This window comes from Homo sapiens, chromosome 7 (genome assembly GCF_000001405.40).
Source record: "Homo sapiens chromosome 7, GRCh38.p14 Primary Assembly".
Taxonomy (NCBI): Eukaryota; Metazoa; Chordata; class Mammalia; order Primates; family Hominidae; genus Homo; species Homo sapiens.
Window position 1 is genome coordinate 63395895 of NC_000007.14, and position 15810 is coordinate 63411704.

The following is a 15810-nucleotide window of genomic DNA, read 5'->3' on the forward strand; positions in this document are numbered from 1 at the left end:
ATTTCTGACAAGTTATTTATACACTGCCTACATGAGTATTGCAGATATGTTTTAAAGACAAAGATCCATGTAGACTGGGTCAGCTTTATGCTTGGTCATTTTATTTCCAATTCTTCTCCCCTAAAATACAAGTCATGGGTTGCCATGGTGATTATTCCAACTGCATTGTGGTCAGATGGAACTGGTGACCTGTTCTAATTTCCCCTTCAGTTACAAAATGAGCCCGATGCTCTTAGCCATCAAAATCTCACCAACACCTACTACTTCAGTTTCAACTCTGGTTCCTTTTTCAAGGCAATCACTCAAAGTTGCAAATCACAGAAAGGCAAAAATGTTTTAACTAAAAACTTAATAAAAAGTTATACCCCCCCTGAAGCCATGTAATTTGGGTTTTATTTATTTTATTGTCTATTCAGGTCCATAAACCTACAACTGTAACAATATATACCATTCATGATAAGTTAATATTTATTGAATAGTAAAATGAATATACGTTAAGGGTAGATCTGGCTTCAAGTATAACTGCAATCAGGGCTGGTGTGATATGTCCAGTAGTCAAGGACAAATGTCAGTTGTAATATGACCTCCTCCACTTGAAACACACAGCAATACTTTAAACGTCTGAAAAGAAAGTTACGTAGGGAAATAAATGAAAAGTTATTAATTTGATTAAGAAGGAATTAAACCTGATTTTAAAATAGATAAAGACATACAAATATAAAAAATACTGAAGAACAATTAGCATAGGTAGAGGAGCACTAAAAGTATGATAGAAAAGAAATATATTTAAAAATATTAGTTTCTGAGTTAAGTTTGTAGATATAGAGACCTGACAAAGAGTTGCTCCTACACATTAAACAAACAAACAAAAATGCTGGAGAAACTTCAAATGAATGGATGGTTTCTCCTGAGCCCTTTAAAGAACTGAGGTCACAGGGCAGACTACAAACCCAACATCAGGGGATGCAGAAAGCCTGCAGGTCACACAGGCTCCAGGCTTTTATGTGTACCCTGAAGACCATGTAAACTGGTAAAATTAAGCCAGAACTTTTGAACTAGTTCCTGGTGGCTGTGTGTGGGTGGGTGAGGAGAATGAGAAACCCTGGAGTCTACAGACGTAGGGTTTATACCGTTGTGTATAATTTTTCTAGGAACCCTACAAGGCCTGTCAGGGAAGATGGGGTTAGAATCCTGAGGATGCTTACCCCACAGTGCTGATGGGGAGGGACCACTATCCCATCCACTACTGCAACTCTGGAGACACAGCCCTCACATCTCTCCTATATAACATGAGGCCTAATCTGCAGAGAAAGAGCATCCAAACCTGAGCCAAAGGGCACTGGGGAAAAGCTCATGGAACTGAGGGTGAAGGAACAAGGCCAACACCCGCATTTCTGCACAGATGCATCTCCCATAAAGAAAAGAAACCATTAATTTACAGGGCACTGTTCAAGGCCCACTTCAACTGGGAGTTAAGAGCATGGAGAAGGAGCACGTTTCCCCTACCATGGACAAGGAGGGACAGGAATGTGCTCTTGTCCTGGCATTGCATGTACAGGATGGGCAGGAAACTCTTCAACGGTCAGTAACCCCACACCCCAGTTCACAGTGCTAAGTCTGAGGCTTCCTCAGAACATTAGAGATCTCCTCACTCCCTCACCACTGCCACCAGGCTAAGAAGCATGGAGTCAAAACAGTGGAATATAGCTGGGCCAAGTGCAAGAAACCACGTGTGGGAAGAGGCACAAAGGGAAGGCACAGCAAACTCGGGAGATATTAGCAAAGTATCATGAGAGGGATTTGAATTTCCTGGTCCTCAGAAGGTTGTTACTGCCATAACGACTTTTAACCCCAGCCTACCCTCTCATCAACATGACCACAAACCCCTATACTAAGGCAGTTATCTGAGAGAAAACTGCTCGTCAATAACCTAAAACCTATCCCCTTTCAATGTCAGTGGGCTGATGAAAAAATAAAAATAATAAAAAAAAGATTTACCCCAATGCACTATCCTATACAACATATGCTATTGCTTTTAACAAAAATTAGAAGCCAAGACATCCCTTTTTATCTTTAGTGAGATCTTCATTTGTGTTAAAACCAAATTAAGGTCCCAGTGCGGAGTTTAGGAGGCTGGGACTTCAGATCACAGCGGGCGCCCGCCTCCCGCCCGCCGTGGCCACGCCGCGCCGCGTCCGGGAAGGCCCAGCGGAGGCTCCGGGGAAGGCGACACCAGCAGGCGGCCTGGCCGGCGGCATTGAAATGGGCGTCCGCTCCCCACGGAGCGCGGGAGGTCGTAGCTGCAGCCGGACGAGCGCTGGCACCAGCCGGGCACCGCGCATGGATCCCGCGTGCGCACTGTCGCGGTCATGGCGTCCCGGGCCGGCACCGCGGCCTCGGCTCCCTGCTCTGCGGCTCTTGTCTCCAGGGCGGCGTTGGGTTCTGAATGTTCCAGTTCCACAGCAGCCAGACGCGGGATGCCCAGGGACGGCCTGACGGCAGCGCTGGCTGCGGTGCGGCCAGGGCGCTGGCGTGGCCGAGGCCATGGTGGTCGTATGTTCCATGGACACCATCAAGGTGAAGTTCATCCACGGCCAGACCTTCCCAGACCTCCAGTGCAGAGGAGTCTCCCACCAGGTTAGAGAGATTGTGCGAGAACAAGGGGACTCACCGGGGCCTCATGGCACCCACGCTAAAGCAGGGCTGGAACCAGGCCGTCTGCTTCTCCTCCTGACCTCCCTGCACAGCTGGTACCGAGGGGACAACCCCAGCAAGCCCATGGACCCGCTGGTCGCTGGGGTCTTCGGAGCCATTGTGGGCGCAGCCAGTGTCTTGGGAAACGCTCCTCTGGATGGGATCGAGACCGGATGCGGGGCCTGGAGCAGCACAAACGCGGAACACACCGGCCTATGGCTGCAGATCCTGAGGAAGGAGGGGCTCAAGGACCTCTAGAACGGCACTGTCCCCGCCTGGCCGCTGGACGCGTCTCCCTGGATGTGACCAGGGATAAGGGTAACAGTATTTATCCTCTACCAGGAGGTGGAGAAGCTGCACAACAGTGTGGAGGATGGACTAAGCCCAGAGGGGTAATGAGGGAACCCCCCAGGCACCTCCAGAGCGGCCACCACCCTTGTCTCACATGATTCCAGCGCAGAAATGCCAAAAGGCCCCTGCCCACGTCCCTCGAGCTCTGTGGCCTGCCCTGTGCATTGTGGTGTCACGTCCATTTGTCCCCTAGTGCCATGTCTCCCCGTGGTGTGTACGTGACACTGCGCCTGTGTCCACGAGTCTGGCCCGGCCGTGGCTGGAGGTCCATCTGGCCTGTGAGTCTGTGCCCACTTGTCCATGTGCTTATTGTGAGCCCTGGGCCTGTGATTCATTTTCTACGTCATGCGACACTGCGCCCCGCCTCCCGGGGTGCCAGTGTGGCCTGAGTCCTTGGCCCTGTCATCCCGGCCCGGGCCCAGTCCACTGCCTTCCACCCTGCCCTGGCCTACCACAGCTGCCTCTGGGCCTCGGCCTGGTTTCACTGCATTCTTGGGGTTACACCCCTGAACCCCAAATTCCACCCCTCACCAGCGCTTCTCCTACCATTGGCTTGACTGGCCCACGGCCCCTCCCTCTGCCCAGGAGAGGGTGACACCCACCACTCTCAGGATCACCCTGCCAAGGCAGAATAAACCGGATCCTATTGTAAAAAATAAAAAATAAATAAAAAGTATGAAGCACAGAAGAAAATAAGCTACGAGGAAAAAGGGTTAGAAGATTTTTCTTTTTGAGACAGAGTCTTGCTCTGTTATACAGGCTGGAGTGCAGTGGCCGGATCTAGGCTCAATGCAACCTCCGCCTTCCGGGTTCAAGTGATTCTCCTGCCTCAGCCTCCCGAGTAGCTGGGGTTACAGGCATGCCTCACCATGCCCAGCTAATTTTTGTGTTTTTAGTAGAGATGGGGTTTCACCATGTTCACCAGGCTGGTCTGGAACTCCTGGCCTCAAGTGATGGGATTGCCTCTCCCTCCCAATACAGGCATGAGCCACTGTGCCTGGCCCGGTTGGAAGAAATTTGATATCACATAAACTTTGCATACTGGAAATATATTTGTAATATTTTAAATTTTAAAAGTATTATAAATATATTTATATTTGTACATATTAATATAAAATATTAAATTTAAATATTTTAAATGTTTAGGTAAAAACAATTGAGGAAAAGATGATATCCAAATAATTTTTGAAAGAGCAGGAAACTATAAACTGAATGAGGAAATTTGGAAAAGAGTCAAATAGAAATGGAATAATTTAAACATAAAGAAATTTAATATACGATATGTGAGTTAATTATAAAATTAGACTACGTTGATGAGAGAATTAGTGAACTGGATTAATGAACTGAAATTTTGAGCAGAACGAATATAACCAAATAAAAGAAAGAGAAACAAAATAATAGTAATATGAATGTAATTATACATATGTGAAGAATAGAATGACAAAGAATAAAGCACAATTATTTCACTTGAATTCATACAAATAATAAGTCATACTAATAAATAATTATTTACAAATTTCTAAAAGTAAAAACCAGACATGTGCCTAAAAGAGACACTGTGCCTGAAAGCAAGCAATAAAGAGGCTGGGTGTAGTGGCTCACATCTGTAATCACAGCACTTTGCGAGGCCAAGGAGGGCGGGTCACTTGAGGTCAGGAGTTGAAGACCAACCTGGCCAACCAGGTGAAACCCCGTGTCTACTAAAAATACAAAAAAATACAAAAAACTTAGCCGGGCATGGTGTCAGCTGCCTGTGATCCCAGCTACTCCGGAGGTTGAGGCAGGAGAATCCCTTGAACCCGAGAGGCGGAGGTTGCAGCGAGCCAAGACTCCAGCCTGGGTGACAGAGCAAGATTCCGTCACCAAATTAAAAAAAGAAAAAGCAATAAAGAAAGATATCCAACACCATAAGTCAAACTGCATAACACCAAAGAGAATGAAGAAACTTCAAAGCCATGAGAGAGAGAGAGAGAATCTACACATGTGAGAGTGAAATCTCCACAGCCCAGGCAGAGCCAGAAAACTGAGAAGGAAATATTAAGAGTGCTGAAAAATTATTGTTCAACCAGTAACTGAATACATAGCTAGCATATATTTAATAAATAAGGGTAAACTAAATAACCTTCAGAAGTAAAACACACACACACACACAAAGAGAAATTTTATCTACCAACAGGAGCATCTTAAGTGTACACTTCAAGAAGATAGAAAAGTTGTCTTATATAAAACTTAAGGGATCAAAATTAAATATAAGAAACTTGTGGACACAGGGGACTATGACGGTGGACTTTAAAGAAACCACCAAGTTCTTGGCAGCATAGTTTTCAAAAGTATTTAGATGAAATAAAAGTGTAATAAAATAATATATAAAATCACCTGCTTCTTGAATTATTTGATGTCCAAATCTGTTTTTCAGATAATTATTTTCATAATTTATTATCATCTATGATATTTATATAACACATTATGCAAAATTTTGATTATTCTATTATCAGAACTAATTAGCATAAAAGGGCTAACAGATAGAAATTGCCCATAAGCATCTGGACACCCATGATGAATGAGTCATAAGCCCATAACAGGGTTGAGGAGGATGAGATGATGAGGCCCACCCAATACATGAGCACAAAGCAACTCACCAGCATCGGAATGGTCTAGGTGGCCCTTTTCTCTGGGGAGGCTTTTGCAGACAGGTTGGTGCTGGGAAGGTACTGGGGTTGTCTCTGATGCCTGGACAAAAGAATTACCATGTATGCCCTTGAGAGCAACATGACTGCTACAAAGAAGACATCTGCAAGTAGTGGCAGCATGAAAGACAGACTCCTGATGATGTAGCTTATGTAAGAAAGTGAACAGTATTTACTGATACTTGGCACATTGCTGTCGGTCACATTAGAAGAGGCCACAGTGGAGGAAGGCAGGTTACTACTGAGAAAGAAACTGAGAACCCCAAGAAGTGAAAGATGCAATGTGTGAATTTCTGTTTAATTCTTGCCAACCAGGAGGTGCCGGGGGTAATGGTGACAGCCTGGAGCACACTCCGGAGGCAGGTGGTGCAGATGGAGAGCCCTCATCCCTCTATGCATGTAGAAGAATACCTTACACTTGAAGTCATTCTGAAAATACTGTGACTCAAAGAGGTCCAGAGATGCCAAGAAGCTCACAGTGAGGAGCATCACTAAGTGGACAAGGGCCAGGTGACAGGTGATGAGGTCAGTGGGCTTAGGCCTGCAGTCCAGAGGGAGTGTGCAGATACAGAAGAAAAGGAGGAAGGTGTTGGCTGTGAGTCCAATACCAGCTTGGGAAAAAAGGGCAATTTTTAATAGTGTCATAAGTGGACTATGGTCGTCTTAATGGTGAAGAGGGATCATATTTTATATATCTGAAAAAGCAATAGATATCCTATCATCAGTATTATTTATTGCACGGTCAAAATTATTACCAATATTATCATTTTAATTTTACCCATTTATCCTGATTAACCTGGACTATCTCATATAAATTCTTTAAAATGTAGCCTAAGCATTTTATCTTACAACAAATAAGTTATACGTATCTGAAACTTCCATACATCCACAATCACACCCATGTAGGGTGCACATTATCTATACTCATAGAGTACTTGTGGCTCACTCATCAGAAAGCATTTCCTTCCCTTCTGAATTCCTCAAATCACTGAACATTCTCAGATCAAAACTTTTTTTCTTCTTAAAAGCTTTTCAACTTCTAAGAATATATACATATTTCAATGCTCAAAGATGAAAAAATGTCCACTAAAAATTTTATCCTCAGAAAAACTATCAATTAAAAATAAATAAAAAAGACATTTCAGGTAAATAAAAGCTGAGGCAATTTTTTGATAGCAGACAGATCATTTGAGAAAGAATAAAAATAAGTTTTCAGGCTGAATGCAAGTAATCCCAGATAATTTTAATGCCCCCAAAAGACAAAGAGGACTAGTAAATGTAACAAATATTTAAGGCAATATAAGAAATTTTTTTCTCATATTATCTGATTGTCAAAAGCAACTGTGTAATATTGTTTGTAATGGGATCTTCAGTGCTATAACATAAAGAAATTTAATTTATTTGCCAATTACAGCACAGAGAAAGTGGGTTCAAGAAAAGATATATTGGGCTAAGAAAATCTTTCCAGATAATAACTTGTATCTACAAAGATTTAAAAAAGTACGTCAGAAAAAGTGAAGGATTACAATAACATAATGAATAATAAGAAGTTTAACAAAACAAACCTGTAAATACACAAGTGCTCTTTTTTCTTATTTCAGCTTATTTAAAAAAATAAAATTATGTAAGCAGATAACTACAAACTGTTGTGTTTGTAACATATGTAGATTTAAACATTAGTACCCAAACTAGGAGGGAAAGACAGAATAAAGTTGTACAGGAGCAACGTTTTCATAAAATGAATATAAGGTTAAAATGTGAAGCTCCAATACCTACCTACATACATATATATGGTGCAATTATCAAATTAATGTAATTAGCAGGTACTATATTATGTGTATCTGCTAGTGCCCTGGTCTTGGACTTCTCAGCCTCTGTAACTGTGAGAAGTAAGTTTAGACTCTATATAAATTACCTGTTCTAAAGTATTTTATTACAGAAATAGGGATAGCCTAAGACAACATTCGTGAACATCCATGCTGTGCACTAAATCACCGGAACTTGTTTATTTTATATCTAAAAGTTTTGATCACCGTGTCTTCATTTCTGCCAGCCACCACCCCCTAGCAACCACTGTGGACTCTCTGTTTCTATGACTTTGACATTTTTGGCTTCATATATGAGTGAAATCAAACAGTATTTGTCATTCTGTGTCTAGCTTATTTCATTTAACCTAATGTCCTCTAGGTTCATTCGTATTGTAGCAAATGGCAGAATTCTCTTTTTTATGGCTGAATAATATTCCATTATATAAATATTCCATAATTTCTTTACCCGTTCATCTATTAATGGATACCTAGATTGTTTGCATGTCTCTGTCATTGTAAATAATTCTGCTATGAATACAGAAGGGCAGGTGTCTCTTTTAGATACTAATTTTATTTTCTTTGGTTATATATCTGGAAGTGAAATTGCTGGATAATATGGCAATTCTATTTTAATTATTTGAGAAAGCTTCACAGTGTTTCTGTAATGGTTGTACCAATATTTCTGTATTTTTAAGTGTATGTTGTACTCTGTTGGGAGCCAATTTTTATAGACCTGTTGGTTAATTTGTTTTACATCTTATATAAGCTTCCATTTGGACAATCTTTTCAAGGATGTTTTTAAATAACTAACAGCCTTGTGTGAAGTGAGTAGTGTCTCTTTTTAGAGCAGAGGTCAAATACATACATAAATAATTTAATAAAATTATGTTTTCCCCAGAGGCAAAGGTTGGGAAGGTTTTATTTGAAACACTTTATTTTTTTTCAGCAAAATTCTCTGTATTTTAATGAAGTAAGACAGTAGTCCTTGAATGGAGGAGAGGACAAAAAGGGAACCCCCAAAATACATGATGTGTTGAGAACCCCAAAGTCCAGTGGAAGTCACATCAGGCACAAATCCCATAGAGGTTCTGAGTGAAATCCCTGCTACAAATTTTAGCCATGAGAGATGAAGGAGTTCCCCCAATTTAGAGGTATCTTCTAAGCCAAAAAATAAAATGATGGAGGGGGGCAGGGGCTCAATCTTTAAGAGTTTTCCAATTTTAGAGGAACTGGGAAAGCACATCAGGACCCCCTCATCTAACAGGGTGGGGGATATGAGATCCTGATGCAACTTCAGGACAGAGATAAAACATTGATTCGTTGGTGGGCAGGGCTCCTTGGCATGGCGGGCTCAGATTGGCTCCCTAGTGGCTGGGAGTAAGGTCAGGCTCAAGACAGCCTGTGTTGAGTAGTCAGGAAGGAAACTCATCAGCTTGGGTTTGATAAAAGGACGATTTAGAGGTATTCCCCTCCATCTTGGGGAGCGACCCTTGCAGCAGAAAAATTGTGGTGAGAGTCTGGGGCAAATGGAGCCACTCCTTTTGCTGGAACATGAGGCAGTCAGACAGCAGGCACCACATGGCTTCGGGCAGTTGCTGGAGATTTTTCTGAGGTCCAGGGATGAAGAGTCACAGCCCACCATAAAGATAATCTGGTCACAGCTGCCAATGTGGCTGTAAGGCAGTGAGCCAGTCGTGAGATTTTAGAGCACAGCCACACTGGCATAGACGTCCGACTGGAAGCTGAAGGGGTTCAGGTCAGCTGCGATCCACAAAACAGAACCTGAAGGCTTCTCCAAGGGCTGGGCCCTGCTTCACTCTGTCTTCACTGTGGCCAGACGAGAGTCACTCATCTTTGTGTTGAAAAATGTTATTAGACTTGAGATCGCCTTGGATGATATTCTTGGCATGGAGGTAGTTCATGCCCTGGGCAGTCTGCTGGGCCATGTCAATTAGCTGGACTATATAATATAATATATAATGCAACATAATATAATATAATATAATATAATATAATATAATATAATATATTATATAATATAATATACTGTGACATAATATATGTCAGACATAATATATAATGATGTCATAATATATTGTGATATAATATCATGTATTATACATACGATATATATCATAATACATTGTGATATCATAATATAATACATGATATATAATCATATATAATATATGGTATAATACATTGTGATATCATAACATAAAATTTTGTTTTTTTGTATATGTTTTATGAAATAACAAATTATATATATGACACCGTATCTGACAAAATTTTATTATATTACATGATATTACATAATATATTGTGATATTATAACATATAAAATTTTGTCAGATAATCTTATGAGAAAACTGAGTTAAATTTTGTAACAACATTAACATATAAACTTAATAGAACCTAAGAAAATTATCTGCTCTTGTGTAAATGACCATTTTTTCGATAACTCTGAAGGCCAGCTATGGGTGTGAAAGGGGTCTGCTACTTACTTTATGAGACATTGACCTCCAAATCTTTGCTGTTATTAACCAGTGCCCTTGCAAGATAAGAGAATATTTTACTCTAAGAAAGCATTTTCATAGATACCATAATAGGAATTTTGCTCATGTTAGTTAATAAATTATTATAACTTTTTTGGTTATTAATAGTTTGTCATTAAAATATACTTCTACAGATAACCCATTGCACAGGTGTTTTGATTCATCCTTTAGCCACAGGTCAAATTTTAAAATGTTTATTCGTCAAATTTTATTTATTTTAGATAAAAGAGTCCTTGTATCTACCATGTGCTGTAAGATCTGTATGTTGTTAGAAAGACAAATTCTCAGACAAAACTCATGTCTATTTTGAAATTCTCAAACCAAGTTCAGGTCTATTTTTTTCAAAATCTAGATTTTACGTAATGTTTCTAGGTGTTTCCTTTCAATAAAAATCCAAACTAAAAGAAATAAAAAATGTATAGGTAATTCCCATGCATATCAATATTGTTAAGTGGGGTACTTTTATTTTTACGAAAGGGATTGTTTATATGGATGTATTGATGTGTCAAACAGGTACAGTTAAGATTGTACCTTTTTTTCTCAGCGTCTCAATCTGTCACTCAGGGTGGAGTGTAGTGGTGCAATTACAGCTCACTGCAGCCTTGACCTCCCAGGCTCGAGCGATCCTCCCATGTCAGCATCCCAAATAGCTGGGACTACAAGTGTGCACCATCATGCCCAAGTAATTTTTAAAAAATGTTTGTAGAGATGATGTCTCACTACGTTGCCCCAGTGAGGTCTTGTTACGTTGCTCAGGCTGGTCTCAAACTCGTGAGCTCTGGCTTCCCAAAGGGATGGAATTACAAATGCAAGCCACTATGCCTGGCCAAGATTGGTCCTTTCAATGAGCTCACATCTTATTTTAAAAAAGAAAAACTAATTAAAAGATAAAGTCTGAGTAACAAATGGGTTCACGTTAATGATTATTAACTTGGGTACTTCTATTCTTAAAAGAAAAATTGTTTATATATGTGTACTGATGTTTAAAAAGGTACAGTTAAGAGTAAACCTTTCTTTTTTTTTTTTTTTGAGACAGTCTCACTGTCACCCAGGCTTGTGTGTAGCTGCCCAATCACATCTCACTAAAGCCTCACCCTGCCAGACTCAAGGGATCCTGCTATGTCAGCATCCCAAGTAGCTAGGAATACAGGCATGCACCATCATGCCTCATTTTTTTTTTTTTTTTATTTTTAGTAGCCATGTGGTCTCACTATGTTGCCCAGGCTGCTCTTAAACTCTGACGCTCAAGTGAGCCTCCTGTCTTGTCATTCCAAAAGGATGGAATTACACAGGCTTAAGCCATTGTGCTCAGCCAAGATTTTACCTTCAATTAGCACACATCTTATTTCAGAAAAAAATAATAATAAAGTCTGGGAAGAAAATGCATTGAAGTATGGATAAAACAAACTTGGCACAGGTTGTTGAGCCTGGGTAACAGTTGTATTATACTGTTTTATTTTGTATATGTTTTAAATTTTCTGTAATAAAACATGTATACAAATACAAAGTTGATCTTCAGTGTTAGCTCTTAAGACCTTAGTGACTTTGAGGAGCAAAAAGAGAGAAAGTGGGGTTGCTTGGAACAGCTCCAGTCTGCAGCTCCCAGCAAGACCAATGCAGAAAGCGGGTGATTTCTGCATTTCCAACTGAGGTATCCAGTTCATCTCATTAGGACTGGTTAGGCAGTGGATGCAGCCCACGGAGGGCGAGCAGAAGCAGGTTGGGGCATCACCTCACCCGGGAAGTGCAAGGAGCCAGGGAACTCCCTCCTCCAGCCAAGGGAAGTGGTGAGACACTGTGCTATCCGGTCCAGATACTATGCTTTTCCCACAGTTTTTGCAATCCACAGAGCAGGAGATTCCCTTGTGTGCCTATACAAACAGGGGCCTGGGTTTCAAGCACAAAACTGGGCAGCTGTTTGGGCAGACACCGAGATAGCTGCAGGAATTTTTTCTTCATACTCCAGTAGCACCTGGAACCCCAGCGAGACAGAACTGTTCACTCCCCTGGAAAGAGGACTGAATCCAGGGCGCCAAGTGGTCTCGATAAGCGGGTCCCACTCCCATGGAGGCCACCAAGCTAAGAACCACCGGCTCGAAATTCTCACTGCCAGCACAGCAGTCTGAAGTCAACCTGGGATGATTGAGCTTGGTAAGGGAAGGGGTGTCCACCATTACTGAGGCTTCAGTAGTCAGTTTTTCTCTGACAGTGCTAAAGAGGCTGGAAAGTTTGGACTGAGCAGAACTCAACAGAGTGCAGCAAAGCGGTTGTGGCCAGACTGCCATTCTAGATTCCTCCTCACTGGGCAGGGAATCTCTGAAAGAAAGGCAGCAGCCCCAGTCAGGGGGTTATAGATAAAACTCCCATCTCCCTGGGACAGAGCACTTGGGGGAAGGGGCAGCTGTGGGCACAGCCTCAGTGGACTTAAACATTTCTGCTTGCTGGCTCTGAAGACAGCAGCAGATCCTGAAAAGGAGGATTCTCCCAGCACAGCGCTCGAGCTCTTAGACTGCCTCCTCAAGTGGGTCCCGGATCCCCATGCCTCCTGACTGGGAGAGACCTCCCAGCAGGAGTCAACAGACACCTCATAGAGGAGAGCCCCAGCTGGCATCAGGCCAGTGCCCCCTCTGGGACGAAGCTTCCAGAAGAAGGAGCAGGCAGCAATCTTTGCTGTTCTGCAGCCTCTGCTGGTGACACCCAGGCAAACAGGGTCTGGAGTGGACCTCCAGCAAACTGCAGCAGACCTGCAGAAGAGGGGCCTGACTGTTAGAAGAAAAACTCACAAACAGAAAGCAACAACATCAAAATCAACAAAAAGGACCCCCACGCAAAAACCCAAGCCAAAGGTCATCAGCCTCAAAGATCAAAGGTAACTAAATCCACAAAATGAGGAAAAACCAGTGTAACAATACTGAAAATTCCAAAAACCAGGATGCCTCTTCTCCTCTAAATGATCACAACTCCTCTCCAGCAAGGGCACAAAACTGAAAGGAGAATGAGTTTGATGAATTGACAGAAGTAGGCTTCAGAAGTTGGGTAATAACAAAACTCTTCTGAGCTAAAAGACTATGTTCTAACCCAATGCAAGGAAGCTAGGAACCTTGATAAGAGGCTACAGGAACTGCTGTAATAACCAACAGTTATTATAGAGTCACCAGCTTAGAGAATAACATAAATGACCAGATGGAGCTGAATAACACAGCATGAAAACTTTGTGAAGCATACACAAGTATCAATAGCCAAATTGATCAAGTGGAAGAAAGGATATCAGAGATTGAAGATCAACTTACTGAAATAAGGTAGGGAGACAAGATTAGAGAAAAAAGAATGAAAAGGAACAAAGCCTCCAAGAAATATAGGACTATGTGAAAAGACCAAACGTACAATTGATTGGTGTACCTGACATTGATGGGGAGAATGGAACCAAGTTGGAAAACACACTTCAGGATGTTATGCAGGAGAACTTCCCCAACCTAGCAAGACAGGCCAACATTCAAATTCAGGAAATACAGAGAACACCACTAAGATACTCCTCGAGAAGAGCAACCCCAAGACACATAATCATCAGATTATCCAAGGTTGAAACAAAGGAAAAAAAGTTAAGGGCAGCCAGAGAGAAAGGTCAGATTACCTGCAAAGAGAAGCCTGTCAGACTAACAGTGGATCTCTCTGCAGAAACCCTACAAGCCAGAAGAGAGTGGGGGCCAATATTCAACATTCTTAAAGAAAATAATTTTCAACCCAGAATTTCATATCCAGCCTAACTAAGCTTAATTAGTGAAGAAGAAATAAAATCCTTTCCAGACAAGCAAATGCTGAGGGATTTTGTCACCACCAGGCCTGCCTTACGAGAGCTTCTGAAGGAAGCACTAAATATGGAAAGGAAAAAACTGGTACCAGCCACTGCAAAAACACACCAAAATGTAAAGACCAGCGACACTATGAGGAACTGCATCAACTAATGTGTGAAATAACCAGCTAGCATCATGATGCCAGGATCAAATTCACGCATAACAATATTAACTTTAAATGTAAATGGGTTAAATGCCCCCAATTAAAAGACATGGACTGGCAAATTGGACAAAGAGTCAAGACTCATCACTGTGCTGTATTCAGGACACCCATTTTATATCCAAAGACACACATAGGCTCAAAATAAAGGGATGGAAGAATATTTACCAACCAAATGGAACACACACAAAAAAGCAGGGGTTGCAATCCTAGTCTCTGATAAAACAGACTTTAAACCAACAAAGACCAAAAAAGACAAAGAAGGGCATTATGTGGTGGTAAAGGGATCAACGCAACAAGAAGAACTAACTATCCTAAATATATATGCACCCAATACAGGAGCACCCAGATTCATAAAACAAGTTCTTAGAGACCTACAGAGAGAATTAGACTCCCACACAATAATAGTAGGAGACTTTAACACCCCACTGTCAATATTAGACAGAGCAATGAGACTGAAAACTAACAAGGATATTCAAGACTTGAACTCAGCTCTGGACCAAGCAGACCAAATAGACATCTATATAACTCCCCACCCCAAATCAACAGAATATACATATTTCTCAGCACCACATAGCACTTATTCTAAAATTGACCACATAATTGGAAGTAAAACATTCCTCAGCAAATGCAAAAAGAATGAAATCATAACAAACAGTCTCTCAGACCACAGTGCAATCAAATTAGAACTCAGGATTAAGAAACTCACTCAAAACTACAAAACTACATGGAAACTGAACAATCTGCTCCTGAATGACGACTGGGTAAATAAAAAAAATTAAGGCAGAGATAAAGAAGTTCTTTGAAACCAAAGAGAACAAAGACACAATGTGCCAAAATCTCTAGGACCTAGCTAAAGCAGTGTTAAGAGGGAAATTTATAGCACTAAATGCTCACATCAGAAAGCAGGAAAGATCTAAAATCAATGCCCTAATATCACAATTAGAAGCATTAGAGAAGCAAGAGCAAACAAATTCAAAAGCTAGCAAAAGATAAGAAATAACTAAGATCAGAGCAGAACTAAAGGAGATAGAGACATGAAAAAAGCCTTAAAAAAATCAATGAATCCAGGAGCTGGTTTTTTGAAAAGATTAACAAAATAGGTAGACCACTAGCTAGACTAATAAAAAGGAAAAGAGAGAAGAATCAAAGAGACACAATAAAAAGTGATAAATGGGATATCAACACTGATCCCACAGAAATATGAACTACCATCAGAGAATACTATAAATATTTTTACGAAAATAAGCTAGAAAATCTAGAAGAAATGGATAAATTCCTGGACACATACATCCTCCCGAGACTAAACACGGAAGAAGTTGAATCTCTAAATAGACTAATAACAAGTTCTGAAATTGAGGGAGTAATTAATAGCCTACCAACCAAAAAAAAAAAAAAAAAGCCCAGGCAGGACCAGACCAATTCAGAGTCGAATTCTACCAGAGGTACAAAGAGGAGCTAGTACCATTCCTTCTGAAACTATTCCAAACAACAGAAAAAGAAGGACTCCTCCCTAACTCATTTTATCAAGCCAGTGTCATCCTGATTCCAAAACCTGGCAGAGACACAACAAACAAAGAAAATTTCAGGCCAATATCCCTGATGAACATTGATGCAAAAATCCTCAATAAAATACTGGCAGACCAAATCCAGTGGCACATTAAAAAGCTTATCCACCACGATCAAGTCAGCTTCATTCCTGAG

General features: G+C 41.2%; 2 long non-coding RNA genes and 3 pseudogenes across 2 annotated transcripts in view; 2 read left to right on the forward strand and 3 right to left on the reverse strand.

The window, feature by feature from the left end:
- LOC124901641 (uncharacterized) overlaps window positions 1-15810 on the forward strand; it is a 28360-nt gene that overhangs the window by 2208 nt on the left and 10342 nt on the right. The window contains exon 2 of the long non-coding RNA XR_007060340.1: window positions 6048-6257. This is a non-coding gene — a long non-coding RNA (uncharacterized LOC124901641). The remainder of the gene's footprint in view (window positions 1-6047; window positions 6258-15810) is intronic.
- LOC100287834 (uncharacterized) lies at window positions 446-3147 on the reverse strand. Its single transcript, NR_028349.1, has 2 exons — window positions 2672-3147; window positions 446-621 (listed from the first exon to the last, which is right to left on the reverse strand). It is a non-coding gene; the product is annotated as an uncharacterized LOC100287834 (long non-coding RNA).
- Window positions 2137-3694, forward strand: SLC25A1P2 (solute carrier family 25 member 1 pseudogene 2; annotated as a pseudogene).
- VN1R33P (vomeronasal 1 receptor 33 pseudogene) lies at window positions 5485-6377 on the reverse strand (annotated as a pseudogene).
- Window positions 8484-9504, reverse strand: ARAFP2 (ARAF pseudogene 2; annotated as a pseudogene).